Source organism: Homo sapiens, chromosome 2, assembly GCF_000001405.40.
Source record: "Homo sapiens chromosome 2, GRCh38.p14 Primary Assembly".
Lineage (NCBI taxonomy): Eukaryota > Metazoa > Chordata > Mammalia > Primates > Hominidae > Homo > Homo sapiens.
In genome coordinates, this window is record NC_000002.12 from 178,890,576 (window position 1) to 178,914,184 (window position 23,609).

General features: G+C 38.0%; 1 protein-coding gene and 1 long non-coding RNA gene across 22 annotated transcripts in view; one reads left to right on the forward strand and one right to left on the reverse strand.

Annotated features, from left to right (window-relative positions):
- CCDC141 (coiled-coil domain containing 141) overlaps positions 1-23,609 on the reverse strand; it is a 235,160-nt gene that overhangs the window by 75,598 nt on the left and 135,953 nt on the right. For all 20 annotated transcript variants that reach the window (XM_047443998.1, XM_047443994.1, XM_047443993.1 and 17 more), the window contains exon 8: positions 14,754-14,926. In XM_047443998.1, the coding sequence (XP_047299954.1) occupies positions 14,754-14,926 (173 nt within the window). The remainder of the gene's footprint in view (positions 1-14,753; positions 14,927-23,609) is intronic.
- The window catches only part of LOC105373766 (uncharacterized), a 39,495-nt gene that overhangs the window by 7,712 nt on the left and 8,174 nt on the right, over positions 1-23,609 (forward strand). Inside the window, exon 2 of one of the 2 annotated variants that reach the window (XR_001739140.2) lies at positions 15,439-15,533. This is a non-coding gene — a long non-coding RNA (uncharacterized LOC105373766). Of the gene's footprint in view, positions 1-15,362; positions 15,534-23,609 lie in introns of those variants that run through there. The other variant, XR_001739139.2, reaches the window with a different exon arrangement.

Here is a 23,609-nt window from a genome sequence, read left to right on the forward strand (position 1 = left end):
CTCAGGTACCAGAAGTACCAGAACTCAGACCCACTCTCTGACTCTGACCTGAACTTGCTCTAGCATCCCCTCCTGCTCCCAAATTTCCCACTTGAATCCCTACTTTGTCTTAATTATGTTGCTCTAATTCAACACTGACACTGAGCCCAGCCTCCTCTTTGGCCATTTGAATACAAAATGAACTCTCTTTCTAAAATGGCATCACTCAATTGTACAGTGTCATGGGAAATATAGATTATAGATGCACACTTCTTATAAATTTGCATATAGTCATAATAGCTACTATTTAATACATTCTCGCAACAGACATGCCACTTTGTTAAGTGCATTAGATGCATTATTTGATAGAATCCTTAAAATAACTTTGTGAAGTGTCAGAAAAGTAGCAATAACTTCAATTTTTAGCCAATGAAACTGAGCCTTCACAGGTGACATAACTTGCCCTAGAGACACACAGCTAATATAAGCAGCAAAGACTTGATTTAATTTCAAGTCTCTTTGCTACCTGAATAGACTTATATACTTAATAATTTTATTAAATTCATGATTAGTTATACATGTTACCTTCAGGAAATTTAAGGAAAAACAGATTACATTGGTTTAGTTTGTACCATAAAATTCCATAACGACAACTAATAAAAACAGTTATTGAGCTCTTACTGTGATAAGGCACCATTCTTAAAAAGTAGTCTGTTTTCTAATCTTCATAACAACCCTGTGAGCTGAGTAGGATTGTTATCCCCATTTCGCAGATAAGTAGACTGAGGAACAGAGACAGTCTCAGTAACTGGCCCAGTTCTGAAATGGCTGACATCTGATCTCAGAGGTCACACTCTGCCACCTCATAGTGCTTTTTCTGGGTCTATGACACATGATGTGGGGTAGGGAGTATTTTCTCCTCTAAAATTTCACTTTGCCTTGAGTTGAGTGTTCTCGGCTGTCATAGAAACAGGGATGGCCTGGCTGACAGGCTCCTTTGAAACTGGCTGGCTTTTCTAAGTAATGCAATGCCTGCTGTAGTTTTCAAAGTGGCCACTAGAGGGTCATGGTAGCTTGCTCAAATTACTACGTTTCTTGAAGGTCCCTCCAGCACAAAAAATAGGTAAACAAAACCAAACCAAGCATTCCTTCCATAAAACTGTTGCTTTTTAGCAACCTGCAATTTTAATTTAGGTGAATTACAACCAATCATATAGGATCTCTCTCTCTCTCTCTCTCTCTCTGTTTTTCAGTAACCTTGGAGATTCTGTCTCATTTTGTGGTGATTTATGCCTTATTATGTGTATCTATTGTGTTGTAAATTCTTTGAGGGAAATAAATGGTGTCCTATTTATTCTTATATCCCTTGTAGCCCTGAACACATAGCCTTATAAGTAGTAGAATATCAATGCCCATTTTCAAATCAAATAAAATAGTCTCTGGTCATTATTTAAGGGAAGAAAACACAAAAAGATTGAGAAGAACATATGCGCAGTTACCATATTTGAAATGTCGTAGTAACAGTGTCCAGTAGTTTTAAACAATGATGACTTGCACTTTTGGCCACTTGTAGAAGTTTTAGGCTATCCAAAGACTGCCCAATTTCTTCTTTGGTATGCTTTAGCATTTATAGTTACGTTAAACCAAATTTATCATGTGTAGTTTGGCTCAATACTTCCTTCTATTTAAAGCCTTAGAGGGACAGACTGAACTGCCTTGTCATTCTGTGCACCATTGCCCGTCCTGTGTGTACTCCACTCTCACATGTGGCTTAGATCCTTTTCTCGGGAAGAGAAGTTTTCATTCATCTTGGTTACTCTAGCCAGTTCCCATTTCCCTCTCTCTATGCCCTTATAACTAGGTCATCTCTGTCTGATTGGGCAGTAACCAGTTCCTTTTCTCTCATTCCCAATTAGAATATATCCATCACATTCCCAGTCCTAGGGCTTTTTCTATTCCTTCTTAGTGACACCCTAATCTGCGGGTTACATTCAGCCCTGATTCCATCCTTTTCCATTAGAAACTTTATACGATGATACCGGACTTTCCTTTTGAAAGTTCTGAAACATTTTAAAACCTGCATAGCATGCATATTAACAATTTCCTCAGCACCTGAACGGCAGGTGGTCTGATCAAAAGAAAGGTATGACCCCACTCTTTGCCAGCAATTCTTACATGAACTGAAAATAAATTGATAGAATCTCATCAGTCTCCCAGAAATGAGTCCTATTACTTTACAGTCCTATTAAATTAATGATGAGACAAGAACTGACGGTGGGTAACAGACACTTGGTTGAACCAAAAACGTGGTGGCCTGTCATTTTGTTCTGATTTGGAAGTAACACTGCTCATGTGCAGCCTGATTGGGTGGGAGAGGGGCTAACAATGGGCTTAGACTTCTAGCTCTAACAGTCTGTGGCTTTGTGATTTGCACTGGAAATATTGATTGACCTTTGGGCTGTCTCTGTAAGAATGGATTAGAGGATGCCTGTCTGTAGTGTGAACATGCGGTAGATCAGATTATTCCTGAGGTTGACTTTGACTTTTCCAAGCATCACAGACTGTGAAAGCTTCTTCAGGCATTTGTTAGAAACTCCAAATGAGAACATTCTCTCCCTTATTCATTGAGCCAATAGAGGGAAGTGGAGGGGGAAGAAAAATAATTGCTTTTTTTTTTTTTCTCAAAGAGCACAGACGTATTGACTTCTGGTTCAAGAATAGACTGCTCTATTTACTGTATGGAAGCAGTTGCCCTATCTTTGCATTTGTTGTAAATTGGGGCTGGAGGAGGGAAGCAAATTCCAATGTTAATGTGTTCTAATGATTATTTCTGAAGAATGGCAAGTTGCTTTCAAACCTTTCATAAATTACTATTGTCAGCCCATCTGGATTAGGAGCTGAACCAGATGGTAAGCACTTGACAGCTTACTCTGTCTCATTGGGAGGGATCAGCTGACCATATTTTTCTTTTTGTCTATGGACAAATTATACTTTAAAGATGGAAAAAAATCTTCCTTATCTTTAGCTTGCTGCTTCTTTTAATGGGAACCCGAAGAGTGTCTTTTTATGTTTATGGTTGTCTTTATTTTTGAGGAAACAACTGCTGCTCTCTAGTTTTCATCCCTACTTTGAAAAAGTGCCATTTATACTGTAGAAGTGAAATGCATATGTTTCTACAATAAATTTGATTCTTATTTAAGCTATATACTTTGAAAATTTCTCCCACCAAACATTTCTCTCTCTCTCACACACACACACACACACACACGCACACACACACACACACACACACACAATGTTTTATGTATAGATAACAAAGTAGAAACAGAAAGCAGTAAGTGTGGCTGAAGCTACAGGGCACCTGGGTTCTTGTTCAGATGCATGTAGAGATGGCTAGAAGTTCCATTTCTATGAGGCCATAGAGACCAACATATATGTCCTATGTGAAGGGTACCATTGCTAGGATTCTTCCTGAAATCAGTAGCAGAGCTGAAATTCTCTGCCCTCATTAGGGGAGGCTGAAAATGCTGCAGCCAACAGCTATGAGGGCCATGGAATTAAACATGGCAGAGCCATCAGGAACCACCTCAAGCCCTCTTCTGGTTTCCTGACTGCATCTTCAAGAGCCACAATATCTCCACAGACGCTTGTGTGACCCTGATCAAATAACAGAAGTACATTTTGATGCTGGACTGAAGGTCCTATGAGTCCAGGTGGTCACTGCAAAGCTGCTAAGGAGGAAAGAGCAAAGAGAGAAGCAAGCAAGCAAAAGAAAGTCAAAGAAAAAAACCCTCCCACTCCAAATGAGAGTGCAATCCAAAATCTCAAAACACATGAAGAAAAGCAAATCCAAGATATGTTCAACAACCAAGAGATAAATGTACTCTAGCTGTAAAGAAAATAAGTACAGCAATCTGACAATGACTTTAAAGTAAATGCCTGAGATCATCAGAGAGATTAAAAAAACCCAACACCCACAATAAAAGACCAAGAAACTTTGAAACAAAAAGTCAGAAATAAAACAAAATTAGACACACAAAAAAATTAGAAATCACAGAAATGAAAACAATATATTTTCTAAAATAAGAAATCAATGAATGAAAACAAAGGGAAAAAGGAAAAAAGAGAAAATACCCTGAGGACCCATGGAGAGTGCAACACAGAGAGTTAAAATAGTGAAAAAATACCAAAGACAGGTAAGAGACTGCAAAGAGACCAAGAGGCTCCAACATTCTTCTAATAGAAGGTATAGAAGAGAAAAAAAAGGTAATAGCAGAAAAGTAATATTTAAAAAGATACTTGCTGAAATTTTCTCATAATTTGCGACATAATACTGAGATTAAAAGGGCACAGCAAGAGCTAAACAGATAAATGCACACATTTGAGATTATTTGGAAAACATAAAAATATCTTTTAATGTATTTCCTTCCAAAAAGACTTTCTTTTTGGTAGTCCCCTGGCCCTCCTCACCTACTCTACCCCACATTAGTATTATGCCTTATAGAGAAATTGGGTCCCACTTGTACCTGCTTACCGTTATATTGTGAGGATACTCTGTCTTAAAATATTCTTCAAAAAACTATTTGATATGGACTTAGAATATTCCATTATGTGCTTTCCCTTAAACTATTCAAACATTTCCCTAGTTTCTGGAAATATTTAGCTGGTTTTCGGGTTTGCACTATTATAAATAGCACTGTGATGAGCATCTTATTCATAAATATGTCCCCTCACATCTCTTCCTGTCTCTTTTCTTTGTCCTCTTCTCCCTAAACCCTGTAATATGAGAGGAGTCCTCAATCACCCAGGGCAGGGATTTCTGCCTCTTTAGTCAGCCTTCCTCTGGAGGTTCTGTAGGTCCAGATCTTTTTACTCTGGGATCTTTGCTACTTCACATCATCAGCATTATAAATGAATACATTCATATTGCCGTGATAAAGATACTTTATGAGAACCTAGTGTAGTTAATCCTGGATTTAATGGGAAGTGTGAGCTTTTGGTACTTTCCACACTAAGAGTTTTAGAATGATAAAATCCTTAACGGTGTTAACAAGCCAGGATTGCAGTTATGACATTTACCCAGCCTCTAAAAAGAACAGCTTAATATAGACATGAAAATATTTGGAAAGTGGCTGGGTTGACTGTCATAAGAACTCAACTTTGTAATTTCCTAAATTTCACTATCTGACATTTACCATCTAAATGCATCATCAAAGTCTTTTAAAAGCAGTTATTTTTAAGTTCTTAAATGCTTAGTACAGTTCATATAAAATGCAGGCATAGACAAATCTACTAGGCAAAGGAAATGTGTTTGTCTTGTTGGAGAATGGAGATTGTTTTTGTTTGTTAAGATCTTTGTAAATATTTTCACTGTGTTAAGGGCTTTCCTTCAATGTCATGCCAGCCCCTTAACATAAGGTAAAAAAGAGGTTTCTTGGGTGGTTTCAGCCCTGAGTTGATATCATGGTCTGAATGAGGACATGATACTGTCACAAATGAAATAACTAAAGAATGATTCAGCCCAGCCCAGAATGAAAAGTGGAGCCATGAGATAGACGTGACAAACAAAAAGGAATTCAAGAAACTATTATGTGGCAGGTATTGATTCAGTTCATCTTGGCTCGAAGATGTAGACCCTTCACCCATCTCAGCCTACCAAATACAGCAACTGTTCATAGCCCTCTCAGATTTCACCCTTTCATTTGGCCTGTCTTGATCTCAGACTTTCGGATTGTGTCTCCCTTCTCTGAAGAAGTGACCGCAACATCCACTGTACTCATGGGCCCCTCGTGCCTGGAGCACACTTCCTTGATGTGCAGCTCCCTGACTGGACGCGGGACAGGTTCTGGGGATTTGGGGTCAGTTTTATATGGCTTTGATTGTCCCTGAGGCCTGGTGCTGGTATGCCATATAAGATGCTCATATGTACATTTGATAACTTCCTAAATGAACTGAAAGAAAGAAAAACTTTGCAGAGAAGTTGGGACTTGAGCTGAAGCTAGAAGCTAGAGTAAATTTTAAGTGCACTAAAATATATATTTTTAAAAAAGGATCTATGTTCATTTAGCCAACAGGCTTCTTGTTATTGATTAAAGCTGAATGAAAGGAGTAGAAAGACAAAAACTGGCAACCTAACAGAGTAGTTCAGATCAGCTTTCAAGTACTCACACCAACCCTTACTGCAGTGTGACAGGCAATAGGGCAAGTTATTAAACTTCTTTGTGCCCTAGTTTCCTCATCTGCAAAACAGGGACAATGATAATAGTAGTACCCATTTCACAGGGTGGTTTTGAGGATTAAATTAATTTATGTCTAGAGCACAGAAGTGTTTGCCATTATTGCCAATGAGTCTTTGAGCATAGTGTACCTCCCCCCTCACTTTGTAGTCTTGTCTGACACCCTTCTCCCCCTGCCACCCCCTCCTCCAGCCACACCACCCTTCTCTCTGTGGCACCCTTACTATTATTGCTCTGCCTGTTCCACTCATCTCCTAGCTGCTTGCAGGGTAGCCCCCTTTGTTCTTAGAGAGTCTTTCTCTGACTACAATGTCTAAAATGATCTCCTGCTCAGTCACTCTATCTCATTTCCCTTTTATATTTTTTCATAGTACTCATTGCTGAGTAAGAGCATCTTATGTATTTGATTTATCTGTTGGCTATTTCTTACCACCAGAATAGCATAAGCACCACAAACATGGACACTTCACCTGTCACATTCGATGCTTGGAAACAACTGATTTACAAAAGACACTCAATAAATATTTCTGAATAAACAAATGAAGAAAGTGATCATGTCCTGTTCCAAAAAGTTCAAAACCATGCACAATATCAACCAAAGGAAGTAGCAGTAGCCAACACAAATGAAAACTGTGGGAAAAGAAAGCAAAATCCAATTAACTCCTGTTTTATGTCTCTGTAAAATATGAAAATATGAAGATCTACATTAAGAAGGCAGTAAGTGTTGGATCAAAACAGATAATGCTTAATTAAAGTTACACCAAAGCAAAATATTCAGTTAGGATGAGGCATATAAGCTTAAATCCGCCATGATGAGGTAGAATGAAACCTTATACAGTCCTTTAGGCAGGTATAGAAATTGAGTTAACTCTGAAGCAAGTTTATTTGTCAATTATATCAGTTAATTTTAGCAAACAGGAAAGGCAAATCAATACTTCACAAGGTAGCCTGGTTTTGCTGGGTTTTTGTATGTTTTTGAGCTCTGAATTGGTAACTGAACTGAGAGAAAAAAATGAGGTCCTCATTTTTGTCCCATTATAGAAAACTTTACCCTCACACAAGGTCCTGGACCCAGCATTTCCAATCACCACAGATTCCTGTGTCTTAATAAATGCAAAATTATGCTTGGTAGCAGGCCATCTTTGGTTTTTCTTTAGACTTGGTTCTCAAGGATGATGCTTAGGGAGAGATGAGGAAGGCTGGAAGCCAGGGGCTTTCAACCTCACTATAAGTCTAAGTTTGGCCATTTCTATGATTTAAGTATGGTTTGTGCTCACCAAAACTCATATTGAGGCTTGGTTCTCAATGAGGTGGTGTTGGGAGGTGGTGTCTTCAAGAGGTAAATAACATGGTCATTAAGATGGATTAATGTATGTTTCATAAGACTGGGTTAGTTCTCTCAGGAATAGATTAGTTCCCACTACAGCAGGTTGTTATAAAACAAGGCTGCCTCTTGTGTTTTTCCCTTTTTTCACACATACCTGGTTTCCTTCCAGTTTTCCATCACGTTATGAGGCAGCATGAGGTTCTTACCAGAGGCTGACCAGATGTGGCCACCCAATCTTGGCCCTCCAGCCTCCAGAATCATAAGCTAGCTAAACTTCTTTCTTTTATATATTACCAGTCTCAGTTATTCTTCTACAGCAACAGAAAATGGACTAAGACAACTGTTATTACATACACTTGTAAGCATCATAAAGAATGCACTAAAATGCCTTTAAAATTAAAGTGGTTATGTGACAGATATTGTACTCCAAAAGGATAACAACTATTTAATAATGACTTGGAATTACCATCAGATTAGATGCAGGAAATAGAAAAGGCAAGAAAACATGTAAATAACCACAATTTGCTTTCTGAAGCTTCTCAAACTTCAAATGTATTTGATTCCATGATAGTAAAACAGTGTAAGTCTGTTCCTAATAAAGTAGTGATTACCGAACAATAATGAAAGGGTCTCAGATTTACTAAGGAGGCTTCATCTCAGATAAATGTAAACTTCTGAGGTCCTATTTTTTGACTAACAGAAAAAAAATCAGATCAAAGGGCCTCTGAAATTCCTACCTGCCTCAATACTAAATTAAGCCTTTTAATACATTAAGATAAGTGTTTATCTTCCCTATTTCAAATATTACCTTTCCAGTTAGTGAAAATGAATAGAATTTGATACAACTGACTGTGCTGTAATCATTTGAAACAACCATATTACCCTCAGTATTTTTTTAAGCTCTTTATATAGAAAGTAAAAAAGTACAGTTATACACTGTATAACATTTCAATCAACAATGGCGGTCCGACAAGATTATAATGCTCTATTTTTACTGTACTTTTTCCAGGTTTAGATACATGAATACCATTGTGTTTCATTTGCCTATAATATTCAATACAGTAACATGCTGCACAAGTCTGCAGCCTAGAAACAATAGGCTAGCCTAGCTATGTAGTAGGCTATACCATGTCTAAGTATGTGTAGGTATGTGTGTAAGATGTGTGTAAGTGCACTCTATGATGTTCACATGACAGCAGAATCACCTAAGACTCATTTCTCAGAATGTATCCTCACTGTTAAACAATGTATCACTGTACTTGTTTATTGAGCCCTTTCTATGTGCTGATGGTGGTGCACATAGAGAGGGCTCAATAAATAAGTGAGTTTGTGCTCAACTGGTGGTGCTGTCTCATTCAATTTAAAAAAACTCTATAAAATGTATATCTTCATTTTACAAAGAGAAAACTGAGATTCAGAGAAATTAAGTTTAAATGTCATGGCATTGTTTTGGCACTCAGAATGTATGAACTAAAATTCCTTTAACGTGAAGTCTTGGGTTTCTTATCCATACCAGTTTTTTGGTGTCTGGTAATAGGAACCTTAATAAACTGTGTCCCATGAGTGTGGCTGGCACTCAGAAGTCTCAGAAGCTATTGTGATGTTCAACAATATCTGCTTTGCTCTGTTGAAATTTACATTGATTTCCATTGCCAGCATTCTAAACTCCATCTTCACTCCAGCAGTGGCTGCACTTGAAATATTATCCTTACATTCTATTTCTTTCCTGTGATGATGACTCAGTTCATTGAGCACATAAATTATTAGATGAGGAAAGGAAGCAAATCCCAAACAGAATGCATGGGATTGAGGTCAGTAGCAATGTATGGCTCTAGTTTGCAACTGACAGTCTAATGCATTTCAGTTCAATTTTTAATGGGTTTTTATTCTAGATCTACCTTCTGAATCCAAAAATGTCCTTTGCCAAGAAACAATTTTATTTTATCTTCAGCTCCTCCTGCAAAATGAAAATAGTATTGATTTATAAAATATTATAATATCTCGAGGAAACCAAATACCTTGGAACTACAATGTTGACAGAAACCATATTGCTAATGATTTTCTTAAACCCACTTACCTAAGCATTAATTCAAGCTTTTGAAATGGTACCTAATTATTTCTTCTTCTGTTGAAACCAGTCTGCATCATGAAAAACAGGATTGTAGATGTCTCTTTGAAAAACAATAATTATGTAAAAATTAAGACAAAAAGAGCAAAAGAGGGGAAAAGAAAACTGGTATGGATAAGGAAACTAAGACTAGTGTCAAGGGAGTTTAATTTCATACATGTAGAGTGTCAAAAACAATGCCATGACATTTAAACTTAACTTCTCTGAATCTCAGTTTCCTGTTTATGAAATGAAGATGTCCATTTCATAGAGTTTTTTGTTTGTTTGTTTGTTTGTTTTTTGTAGTTGAATGAGACAGCACCACTCTTGGCACATAAAGAAGCAAATAAACGTATCAGCCATTACAAAATGGATGGCTAAAAATAGTCAATAGAACCTCAAACACAGAATGTATAAAAAATAAAAGCAGCTTTCCTCTTATATTTAAGTTTTGAAAACAAAGAATTACTGATTAGAACAAACAGGATAAAATTCAGCAGTAAAAAGCTGTTACTACTTTTCTAACTCCAGGAGTTCAGCATCAAAACTAAATAGGGAACTTCAGTTTCTGGTCAAGAGGCCGGGACTGGATTTACCCTCATGCCTTAACCAACTAGAAAAACAAGTACATGAGCAAGGGTTTTCAGACACTGAACAATTAGTAGCACAGGGCAGTGATCTGTTAGAGAAGGAAAATACATGAGATGAGCCTTATGATTGCATTAGTTCATTGCCTGGAAGGTAATTTTTAGATCAAAGCTCAGAGAGGTGGAACTAAGCAGAGCCTGGATTTCTTGCTGAGTTGAGAAGACAGGAACCAGGCTTTGGGTCAAGGCATCTCGAATTTGTGGGCAGGGTACCAGATAGGAAGGAGTAACCCATAAACAGAACTCCAGAGATTTGGGCAGAGTTCTTCAGCTACATGGTGATCTCCCCATGCGTGGCCAGAGGTACAAGGAGGAGCTGGTACAATTCCTTCTGAAACTATTCCAATCAATAGAAAAAGAGGGAATCCTCCCTAACTCATTTTATGAGGCCAGCATCATCCTGATACCAAAGCAAGGCAGAGACACAACCAAAAAAGAGAATTTTAGGCGAATATCCTTGATGAATATTGATGCAAAAATCCTCAATAAAATACTGGCAAACCGAATCCAGCAGCACATCAAAAAGCTTATCCACCATGATCAAGTGGGCTTCATCCCTGGGATGCAAGGCTGGTTCAATATACGCAAATCAATAAATGTAATCCAGCATATAAACAGAGCCAAAGACAAAAAGCACATGATAATCTCAATAGATGCAGAAAAGGCCTTTGACAAAATTCAACAAACCTTCATGCTAAAAATTCTCAATAAATTAGGTCTTGATGGGACGTATCTCAAAATAATAAGAGCTATCTATGACAAACCCACAGCCAATATCATACTGAATGGGCAAAAACTGGAAGCATTCCCTTTGAAAACTGGCACAAGACAGGGATGCCCTCTCTCACCACTCCTATTCAACATAGTGTTGGAAGTTCTGGCCAGGGCAATTAGGCAGGAGAAGGAAATAAAGGGTATTCAATTAGGAAAAGAGGAGGTCAAATTGTCCCTGTTTGCAGACGACATGATTGTATATCTAGAAAACCCCATTGTCTCAGCCCAAAATCTCCTTAAGCTGATAAGCAACTTCAGCAGTCTCAGGATACAAAATGAATATACAAAAATCACAAGCATTCTTATACACCAACAACAGACAAACAGAGAGCCAAATCATGAGTGAACTCCCATTCACAATTGCTTCAAAGAGAATAAAATACCTAGGAATCCAACTTACGAGGGATGTGAAGGACCTCTTCAAGGAGAACTACAAACCACTGCTCAATGAAATAAAAGAGTATACAAACAAATGGAAGAACATTCCATGCTCATGGGTAGGAAGAATCAATATCATGAAAATGGCCATAGTGCCCAAGGTAATTTATAGATTCAATGCTATCCCCATCAAGCTACCAATGACTTTCTTCACAGAATTGGAAAAAACTACTTTAAAGTTCATATGGCAACAAAAAAGAGCCTGCATCGCCAAGTCAATCCTAAGCCAAAAGAACAAAGCTGGAGGCATCACGCTACCTAACTTCAAACTATACTACAAGTCTACAGTAACCAAAACAGCATTTTACTGGTACCAAAACAGAGATATAGATCAATGGAACAGAACAGAGCCCTCAGAAATAACACCGCATATCTACAACTATCTGATCTTTGACAAACCTGGCAAAAACAAGCAATGGGGAAAGGATTCCCTATTTAATAAATGGTGCTGGGAAAACTGGCTAGCCATATGTAGAAAGCTGAAACTGGATCCCCTCCTTACACCTTATGCAAAAATTAATTCAAGATGGACTAAAGACTTAAACGTTACACCTAAAACCATAAAAACCCTAGAAGAAAACCTAGGCATTACCATTCAGGACATAGGCATGGGCAAGGACTTCATGTCTAAACCACCAAAAGCAATGGCAACAAAAGTCAAAATTGACAAATGGGATCTAATTAAACTAAAGAGCTTCTGCACAGCAAAAGAAACTACCATCAGAGTGAACAGGCAACCTACAAAATGGGAGAAAATTTTCGCAACCTACTCATCTGACAAAGGGCTAATATCCAGAATCTACAGTGAACTCAAACAAATTTACAAGAAAAAAACAAACAACCCCATCAAAAAGTGGGCGAAGGACATGAACAGACACTTCTCAAAAGAAGACATTTATGCAGCCAAAAAACACATGAAAAAGTGCTCACCATCACTGGCCATCAGAGAAATGCAAGCCAAAACCACAATGAGATACCATCTCACACCAGTCAGAATGGCAATCATTAAAAAGTCAGGAAACAACAGGTGCTGGAGAGGATGTGGAGAAATAGGAACACTTTTACACTGTTCGTGGGACTGTAAACTAGTTCAACCATTGTGGAAGTCAGTGTGGCGATTCCTCAGGGATCTAGAACTAGAAATACCATTTGACCCAGCCATCCCATTACTGGGTATATACCCAAAGGACTATAAATCATGCTGCTATAAAGACACATGCACACGTATGTTTACTGTGGCACTATTCACAATAGCAAAGACTTGGAACCAACTGAAATGTCCAACAATGATAGACTGGATTAAGAAAATGTGGCACATATACACCATGGAATACTATGCAGTCATAAAAATTATGAGTTCATGTCCTTTGTAGGGACATGGATGAAATTGGAAATCATCATTCTCAGTAAACTATCGCAAGAACAAAAAACCAAACACCGCATATTCTCACTCATAGTTGGGAACTGAACAATGAGAACACATGGACACAGGAAGGGGAACATCACACTCTGGGGACTGTTGTGGGGTGGGGGGAGGGGGGAGGGATAGCTTTAGGAGATATATGTAATGCTAAATGACGAGTTAATGGGTGCAGCACACCAGAATGCCACATGCATACATATGTAACTAACCTGCACATTGTGCACATGTACCCTAAAACTTAAAGTATAGTAATAATTTAAAAAAAAATTAAAAAAAAAAAGAAAGGAACCTTTCCACAGCCAGGGAACATGCCGCAAGCAAAGAGTAGCCTGACCAGAGAAATAACATCTGTCTGTGCTTTGAGACCCATTTGTTAAACTGTGACTGGACCATTTTGAAATTATAACTGGAAACCTCACCGCTTAATTCAGTCATCATATGACTCAAATCAATGTCCGACATGTACCCCGAGTCCAGGCACAATAAGTGTCTCTTCTACCCCATAGGATCTTTTCTGTATTGTTCAAGACATTTATACATTCTGGAAAAGCTGGAAAAGAGGAGGAGGAGGAGGAGTTCCTGTATCCATATTTTGTTCCTGGATGGGAGGAAACACCTTGAAACTGCTGAAGCCTAGTGGACACCCCTATTACCTAATGCACAGCTTGGAGCTAAAGTAAAGAAACTTAGTAAAAAACGTAGTTATTCATTTTTCAAAGGGGAGAATCCCTTGTCTTCATAGCCTCAACTTTTTGGCTTTTATTGGAAGACCTTGGATTATTTCTAATCTTAGTTGTGCATGTAGCACAAGTTGTTTGTAGCAAACATCACAAACCCTGGGTTAAATACCCCTGTCCAGATTCAGACTGTCTTCTGGAAAGAATGTTCCCCAAACCCAAAGTTACCAAATCAACACCTTTAAACTCGTCTAAAATAGAACAGAACAAGGGTTTAAACAGAAATAAAATGATTTTATCACATTTCACCTATTTCATGGTTCTTCAAATTGAATGTCTTTGAGGTTTCAAGGAGATTGTAGACATGGAAGGTGAAAAACTGGGTTTAACCCATTTATAATTTTTTTGTTCTCTCTCTGTGAAAAATGTAAGCCCTGCTTTCATTTCTTCCGGGTCGATATGCATTCCACTATCTGCTCTGTCATTTCCCCTTTGTCTTTCTGTTCTTTCCTATACTTTCCTACTGCATTCTCTCTCTGTTTCTCAAGGTCTTTCTCTCTCTTCATGCCCACTAAGCTCAACATTGATGCATTCACCAAATGTGCTCATAAAACAGGCCCACCTAGAGCACTGTTCAAAAGCATGGGGTCTGGTGCCCATGCTGTTGGATTAATAATTGTCACTGTTTACTTAGGGTTTTGCATGGTGAGCCACCAAGGTCATAACTGGAAGGAAATTCTGGTATTTTATTTTCTTCCAGTAAGAAAAAGACAGGACAGGATAGACTCAAGACTCATGAACCAAAGGGAAGGAGCTATTCCATAAAGATGCTAGGGTTTGAAAAGCCTTGGGAACTAAAGCTCTACTTCTTACTTTGTCCATTCCCTTTCCCCTCCTCAGAAACGAGTAAACAGAAAGCTTTAGCATATGTAAGTCTCCAGGCTCAGAATATGGCCTCACTTCTGGATGAGCAATGGATGTGTTCAGAATAGCTGTTGATCAAACTTCAATAGATCCTTTTAAGCCATATCATAATGCAGCAAAACATCAGAACCAGAAAAAGACAATCATGCATCTTATTTTTAGCACGTTGTGGAAACTGTGAAAAAGCTTGTTACACTGAGAAAGAAATCAACTTTACTCACCTGCAGGAGTCTACTTGGCTGATTAAGGTTTGTCCCTTTTGCAAAGCATCAGTTGTGCAGTCTTTAATTTTTCTGTGTAATTCCTCATGCCTCACTGCCAAAACAGCCAGACTTAAACCCTCTGATTTAAGGAGCTTAAGGTAAGCTTCAACTCTTCCAAGTACATCAAATGCCTGCCAAAGAAAACATACTTTTATTTTCTGCTTCTCTAGTTTAAAATCTACATCAACGTGTACACAAAACACTGGCAATTAAATCAGGCCAAACAATTTGTTAGTTTCATTATAACAAAAAACAACCATCTTAATCTTGGAAGATTGTTGGAAAACAGCTGTATAGTTTTTTAGGGTTCCATTTAGGAAACTGATCATAGCTTAGATGAGCATAACTAAATGTCAATACCATAAAATCACCAAAATAGTTTACATTGAGAATGTATCTATACAACACAAAGAGTTATAACCGCATAGAATTTGGAGAGTCAGTCTGGTTTATTTTGTGCATTTTACACTGTAAACAAATAATAGATGAGTTATTTAAAAATATTATACAGGCTTTTATGGCAAGAATGTTTCTGTAATATTCTTTAGAGGAAATTTCCCAGTAAATTCCACTTTGCTCTTGAAGCACTGTAGAGAAATATTCAAGAAATTATGAATGTCCTTTTTTTCTCTTGCTTTTGCAGATATAAGACCTTCAGCCTACTCCATCCAAGGCATCCATCTGTCTTCAGAAGAGATTAGAATTTTGTTCTGAAGCCATGCAAAGAGTAAGACCAAGGTAATATTTAGCTTCTGACATGCAGAAATAGGATTATGCATAAAAAACATAGCCTTGCAAACCAAGATATTGTCTTGAGAGAAGATTTTAAAATTCCTTTATTTTCTTCCTTTATTAGCAGATCAACAACCCAGCATGCAGGATTAAGCTTATAGAATTAACATAAAATAGAGAGGAGTTAGCCACTGGGCCATTAAGGCTTAGCTGGTATTAAGATGGAGGAGTGTATGATACAAAGGCAATGAAAGAATACTGTGGGTATATGAGGAGAAAGGGAGAAAGCAGAGCGCAGTCATCTTTGTAGGTCTCCTGATATCTCACCTAATGTCTCTAGGAATAATTTTGACCTAGAAAACAAATGGTACATTGAAGAAAATCTGAATGGCATGGGAGGTCTTGCCACATTGCCCTTTAGCACTACTGAAAGAAGCCACCTTATGGAATGTTCCATACCAATCTGGAAAATAGTCCTAACACAGTCAGCTGGGCAGTGCTGTGTAGTCAGGCAGGGCCTTGAAGTGTAGCCTCCCTGGGTTGCTGAGTTGGAAGCCAGTGAGCTTGCCAGGAGCTGACCAGTAGAGCAGGAAGACCCCACAGAAGACTCTAGGTAAGGATCCCAGAGCAAAAGAAATGAGAACAGGTGGGCTCATGAGTCCAGTACCACTAAGACCTGAAGGAGACCAGGCGAGCAAGGTTGAGCTGGTGCTGGGGCAACACAGGCGAAGCCAAATGTAGAGGCTATGGTCATGGAGGTACACAAATGCGCTCATGCCCCTGTGCCTGCTGCCATCTCAGGGGGTGAGATCTAGTGGCAGAATTGGAACTGGACAAAATTCAAAGTTATGAATGAAATCACTCAAACAGCGTCTTACTACTTATACACCGATATTCTATTTTCCCACCAATGTCCTCATGTCTCCCATGTCTGCAATTCTGTTTATTTAGAATATTTAAAACAAAATCATTCTCACTTATTTAGCAGTGAAGAGAAAGTTATAATAATAACTATAGTTTAATAAGAACGGACTACATGCTTGCTTCAATACTGTGTGTTGCACAATTCTTATTCAGTCAATGAATATTGAATGCCTGCTTAGTTCCAGGCACATTCTCCTTAACAGTCCTAAGAGGAAGTAAGAAATTATCCCCATTATATGACTGGGAAAACTGAGTCTCAGAGAGGTTAAATAAATTGCAGAAAGTGACACTTCTACCAAGGAGCAGATTTGGGATTTATACCCAATTTCCTGACTCTGAGACCACTGCTCTTAAATCCTGGGCTGTGGTGCCATGTGGCAAAAGATTACCTTGGAAGACTTAAGAAGGAAGGGCTATGTCAGAGAAAGTTGTAATCTTGGGCGGAAAAGGAGGGATTTTAAAACTTACTTTTTGTAAATATGTCTCTGCCTTTCCTTCTTATAGGTTAGAAAAGATACAGAGAAAGGTTGAGAGATTTCTCTTATACTATAGGACTGTAAAAGAAAGAGAACTTAATTAAAGAAACTTTGAACTTGAAGAACTCTTCTTTATCTGATTCTTTTGCTTTCCTGCAGTTGGCAATGGAGCCAAGTGCAACAAAATGTTGATGTTAGAAAAGATGATTAGCCAGGCACGGTGGCTCACACCTGTAATCCCAGCACTTTGGGAGGCCAAGGTGGGTGGATCACTTGAGGTCAGGAGTTCAAGACCAGCCTGGCCAACATGGTGAAGCCTCGTCTCTACTAAAAATTAAAAAAAAAAATTAGCCAGGTGTGGTAGCACGTGCTTGTAATCCCAGCAACTTGGGAGACTGAGGCAAGAGAATCACTAGAACCCGGGAGGTGGAGGTTGCAGTGAGCTGAGATCACAACATTGCACTCCAGCCTGGGCAACAAGAGTGAAACTCCGTCTCAAAAAATAAAAAAAAAAATAAACAATGAAACAAAAAAGAAAGAAGATGATTTAATGACTTTCCCTATCCTTCCATAACCCATCGAAACATCATTTGCCAATAACCACTGTTTCTGAACATTTTAAATACATTTTAAAATTTGTATTACTTATTTTGAATAAAGCGGAGTTTGTTGTTAACTGAGGGTTAGGTTTTTTGTTTTGTTTTGTTTTCTGAGACAGAGTCTCGCTCTGCCGCCAGGCTGGACTGCAGTGGCGCCATCTCAGCTCACTGCAACCTCCGCCTCCTGGGTTCAAGTGATTCTCGTGCCTCAGCCTCCCGAGTAGCTGGGACTATAGGCACACACCACCACACCCAGCTAATTTTTGTATTTTTAGTAGAGATGGGTTTCATCATGTTGGCCAGGCTGGTCTCGAACTCCTGACCTTGTGATCTGCCTGCGTCGGCCTCCCAAAGTGCTGGGATTACAGGTGTGAGCCACCGCGCCCAGCCGAGGGTTAGTTTTAAAGTCAAATGCCTAAAGCAAAAATCTGGCATAGTCAAAATCATCTTCAACTCCCTTAAATCACCCTTAAAGTTTAATATATGTGAATTAGTGCATGTAGTAACACATATTCACATTTAGAATTGAGAACCCCTGAGCTACACTAAAGGAAGAAATAAAATGAAAGTCTCTATGTAAATGTCACAGCCTTCTTGCCTTTCTTCCTTAAGATAATTCTCAAGTTTTCAGTGTGAATGGAGAAAGAATAGAAAATTCCAAAGTGCTTTTTCTTGCCTACACATTTAACCCCATTTTCTAATATAAAGCTACTATAACCTTAATACATGTCATGTTTGTTGTTTTGAGAATTAGGAAGAAAAATATATAAAAGTAAGTGGGTTTCATGGCAAACATATAGTAGGTACTTGGAAAATACTGGCTGTTATTCTAAATCCTGATTGATTGAGCCCATCTTTAAAAAGTGACTGAGAAGAGCATGGCCACCTGGTGCCTGTCATTCATCCCACATGGGCCTTTCCTCTGTGGCTCCACTGAACATCTGCCACTCTCAAATCCTCAGGCATTGGTCTCATCTTTATTGGAATTAGATGCCAAAACCACAACATCATTGAATGCATGTGAGATACCACTCCACCCTCTTCTGAATGTTATAATAAAAGTATTACTTCCTAATAAAATGGAAATAAATTGAAAGACTAAGCATTCACTAGAAGGAGGGAATGATATATCAAGGACAAAGATAGCCCATAATGAGAATCAAAATAGTCAAATTATCTTCCAGAGCTTTTTCTCAAATGTGTAAGGAAAATATTTACTATAAATTGTTCTGTGTATCACACTTAATAGAACTACAGCAGTAGAAAGGAGGTAAGTGATTTTACTCCTTCATTAGCTCAACAAATACATTTGTAGAATACCTATTGGTACGATGGGCTGGATACTGACCTCAATCCTAACCAACCCGTAATAGGAATAATCTGCAGACATAGAAATAAGAGTTAAATTTCTGGACTTTAACAGGAAGCTACTTTCAAGAAGACTGTACTGTCTGTGATTGTCTGAATTATACACAAAGCTCATCTCTCTTATTCCCATGCAGAATTTGCCAGTTCCATGTGCCAGTTCCAGAAATGATCTAAGTATCATTGCTCTCACTTAATCTACCCTCAAAATAGAACTGAGTGCTTTTCTATTTACCATACCCATAAAGAACCTGATATATCGGACCCAGCCTGGAAAGACTCCCTTTGTTGCACACACAGTACAGAACATATTATTTCTGGCAATAAGAACACTGTGACCCCCATGTAAACTCCTTTGGAAGCAGTGTTTTCCCTTTGGTCTTTTTTCCTTCATATATCTCTCTTCAAACCTTATACGTGCAAGTCAAATAAAGCTACTATGACTGGATTGGGAAAAAAGGATATAGGACAAGGATAATATTTTATCCCTCTGGTTCCTAGCTCTTCTTGAACATTTTATATGTACTATTCAGTTTTTAGGCAGATAAGAAGATGAATCAGCTCTTTTCGGTCTTGTTTTGGTAAAGACTAAGGAGTTGCTTGGTGTTTGTTCTTTACAAAACCAATAAAGACCTTTCCTTTTTCACTTGTTTAGTACAGGACCCAAGGCAGCCTGCACCAAATCAAATAGAGATAGTATCAGGACATGGCACATTTCATTCTTTTAAAAATATCTGCAAGACGAATTCAAACAAGAGCCGTGAGTCATCTAGCAGAATTCTATCATGCTGTTTCACAAAGGTGTTTAATAAGTAATGTTGTTTGCTTCTTGACTAATCAACTTGAAGAGAGTCAACATTAAACACGAACAACAACAGAAAGAAAACAGCAGAACCTAGAAAATTTCCTTCCACGAGTCTAGTGGCTGGAGAGAGTTTTGTTGGAATGCTTATAACTATCAAAAACACAAAACTCAGCTAAGTGCTGAGTTGAGTCTAATTAGTGCTTCTAATTAGAGCACCAGATTCCATTACCTGTAGAGATTCAGATTTCCCTTAGGTTCTGTTACAAAGACCAAAAGCTTCAGTTTCCTTTCCTACACATCACCTGAGAGAACTTCTGGTGGTTCCCACTCTGGGGAACTGATTCCTAATTCAGGTCCTCCCCACATCTGCCCAAGCTTTCAAATGCCCTGAAGGCCAGAATATAGGGGTGATGTGATTTTTAAGCTCCCAATATTTGCTGTCCTCTGCTGCAGCTCCAGCTTATTCCTTGCCTGTCAAAGGCAGTTGCTGCTGGACCTCAGAGCTCCCTCCTTGTTCCAGGGTGAATTCATGGTATTAATGAGAGGTATTAAATGCCATTAGCACCTATGGAAGCTTTTGTCTCATAATCTGGAAAGCTGAGAAAACACTGGAATAAAAGAGGTTTGGGATTGAAAGTGGTATGTATCTGAAGCATTTTATCAACAAGGAATGGAGGAAGTTTATGCATTGACCATCTCTTGTTCTGAGGAATACAACTAGACCCATTCAATAGCACTTTAGGCAGCTAGTCACTATTTATAATTTCTGTTTTCTTTTCTCTAAGTTGACCTAAATGACTTTAAGATGATCTTGGGAATATTAATGTAGAAAATGTCCATTTATAATGTGTAAAGCACTTATTTTTACACTTATTCAAAAAACATTGAAATTTATGGACTATGTACTCAGCTACGTGCTGGGAATGTGAAAATGAACAAAAGCATTACATCACATTAGAGATATAAAGACAAAATACTGCCTAGCAATTAGTGAGTGCTTAGCAGTTCTGTGCTGTAGCCACGTATTAACTTACTTAGACAGCACAATGTCCTTGTAAGGTACCAATAGTACTTCTATTTTACAGGTTAAAAAAGCCAATGCACAGGGAAGTTAAGTGACTGCCCAAGGTCATAGAGCTAATAAATGTCCAAGATCAGATTCATACTCAGGCATTCTGGCTCCAAAATCTACTGTTATTTTGGCAAAGTGTAATGCTAGCAAACATTTCTAATTTTCACTTAATACCCTACAATTCCATTTATTTTACACTCCAACTGTATCCCAAAAAGAGTGTGTACAATTTATCACCAACTATAAGAACTTTTATTATTGAATGAGACTCTCTGAAGTAGATGAGGAATATTAGACTGATTTTATAAAAGAGAAAACTCAAGCTCAAAATGTAAATTGATTTGTCACATGGCCAGTCATTTATTCATTCATCCGACAAAAGTTTTTTGAACCTATGTGACACACAAAGAAGATTAGGACACAATCTCTCTCTAAGGCATACAGAGAAATATTATGGAAATGATACAAAACAAGCAATTAGTGCTGCCTGGAGATGTCTCAGAGGAGGCACTATGTGTAGATGACAAGCCCTTTACACAGCAAGACCTGCCTTCTCAGATATGATGCAGAGATGAAGCTTAAAATTTGTGTTCCTTGTATATTAAAGTAATTAAATTATCTTCTTTCAAAATGGTCAAGTCCCAAGTACCTTGGATCAATATAATCTCCTATGAACAATTTCATGTAGTTGGCCTTGAAACTCTACAGTTTATAATATTTCACTGCTCTTAGTCATTCAAATAATTATTGAACACCCACTAACTAGAAGTCACTGTTCTAGGTGTTCTGGTGAACACAAAGTGAAAAGGACATGTTTCTTACCCTCAAGAAATTTTAATTTAGCAAAAGAAATCTACCCAGAAATAAATATCTATAATACTAAGCAGAATGTGCTTACTGCCAACAGAGAGATGCAACAATCTGATACTGCACATAGAAGAGAAACCAATTAATACACTCTTACGTTAGAAATCCATTGACAGCTTAAATGTGAAAGGTATTCATGAGTGAGGACAATAAAATTGAATGTCTTGATTATCAGACTATTAGATATGAACTGAGTTGTGAGCTCTCATGAGACACTTAAGATGTTAAAGATGTTTCTTTTTCTATAATTTTTCTATGATATATCTATTTTAATAATTGTATGCTAATAATGTAGCCATATTTATCAAATACTTGCTGTGGTTTAAACAGCCTGACCTCTGAGCTCTAAAATCAAAGGTTTCTAAACACTACACTCATCACTCTGTCATAGGGAGTACAGGAAGAGGGTAAATTAAGACATCATCTGTTTCTTGTGGTGAGGTTTGCATCATCATGACTTTTTCAATTCTTAAATATCTCTGCATATATAAAGACATGTTCAGCATAAAATAGAAACTCCTTAGCATGCTATTCAAAATGCTTCCTGATCTCCCCACCTGCTTCTACCACCTTTGTCTCTCATCACTTTAGGTGTACACCCTACATTCCTGGCGAATTGAATTATCTTAGGTTCCCCAAACATGGCATGACTTTGTACCATCCAGCCCTTCCTCGGCCCTTCTTGCCCCATCCTTTCAAACTTATCTCAGTGATCACCTCCTCTGGGGAGCCTTCCTTGACTCTTTTTCCCTGAGCCAGGTTAAGGGTCTCTGCTCTGTGTGTTCTAATGCTTTGGGCTTTCTCCATCATAGCTTTCCCACAACCCAGTGCACCTCTGTTCCCTGGCCTCTCATCTAAACTTGACTGAGAAGGTCTGGAAAGCAGGGATTATATCTTTCATTGCTTTCGCTCAAGTACCCATTTGATGCATGGCAAGAATAGGAACACAACATACTAGCTGAATGCAAATATGGAAGAAGAGAGGGAGGGAACATAAGTGGCTTTAGTTATTTCTAAGAGAAAGGGGAGTTGTTCTGAAAAAGAGGAATTTAAGACAGGCTGCTGAGGAATTATGAAACTGAAAGTAATTATATTTTCCTTGATATCTAATAACATTTAGCCTATTACTTGAATTCATTTATATTACCTCAATAAATTCCTTCTGCATAGTATTTTTTTAGGTACTCTACTTGGGCAGGTTTTCTTAAAATTTCAATCTATACAACAACTGGACCATTTTAATTATTTTTTTTTCATCAGCTGGGCCTAAAATGTGTTTATTTTGAAAATGTTAATATCCCATATATATCACGTATATATAAATGAAAAAAGTATACAAATTCCATGCTTAATTATTTTGTTTGCATCTGAAACAATGATGTTGCTATAAGCATTACTATGGATCACTGTAAATATCTTGAAAAAGCAACATCATCTTCTTAAAGGACATTAATGTTTCAATAGCTATGGCAGAAACAACGGAAGCTATGACAATTGTTACATTTCGAACTACTTTTTGTGTGTTTCTTTGGCCACCCCAACTTTTGCTTCATCTTTGCTTTCAGGCTGACCACCCAAAAATCAGACCATGTTCATAAAATGGATTTGGCCTCAGTTTCCTCTGCTTGCTTTCTTCAATGAAATCATGTGCCTGGAAATGGAAGGCATAGGACACGATACATTATGACCAATCAGTCATGTTTTACAGTTTTGGGTTCAATTGCAGCTGTCCTGTAAATACAGGCTCACCTCATTCTGTTTTTGAAACATATTGTATATTTATCTCTGATTCAAACTACATTCCCTTAACAATGATAAATACGTTTGGGGTGATCAATAAATATCAACCATAGCTTAGCTTGTTTTCTGTGAACACACTAGAAGTATAATAAATAAGATAATCTATAATCCCGAAGGATGAATATTTTGGAGGATCGAGATGAGTTATTCTAATAGGTGCTATATTCATATTTC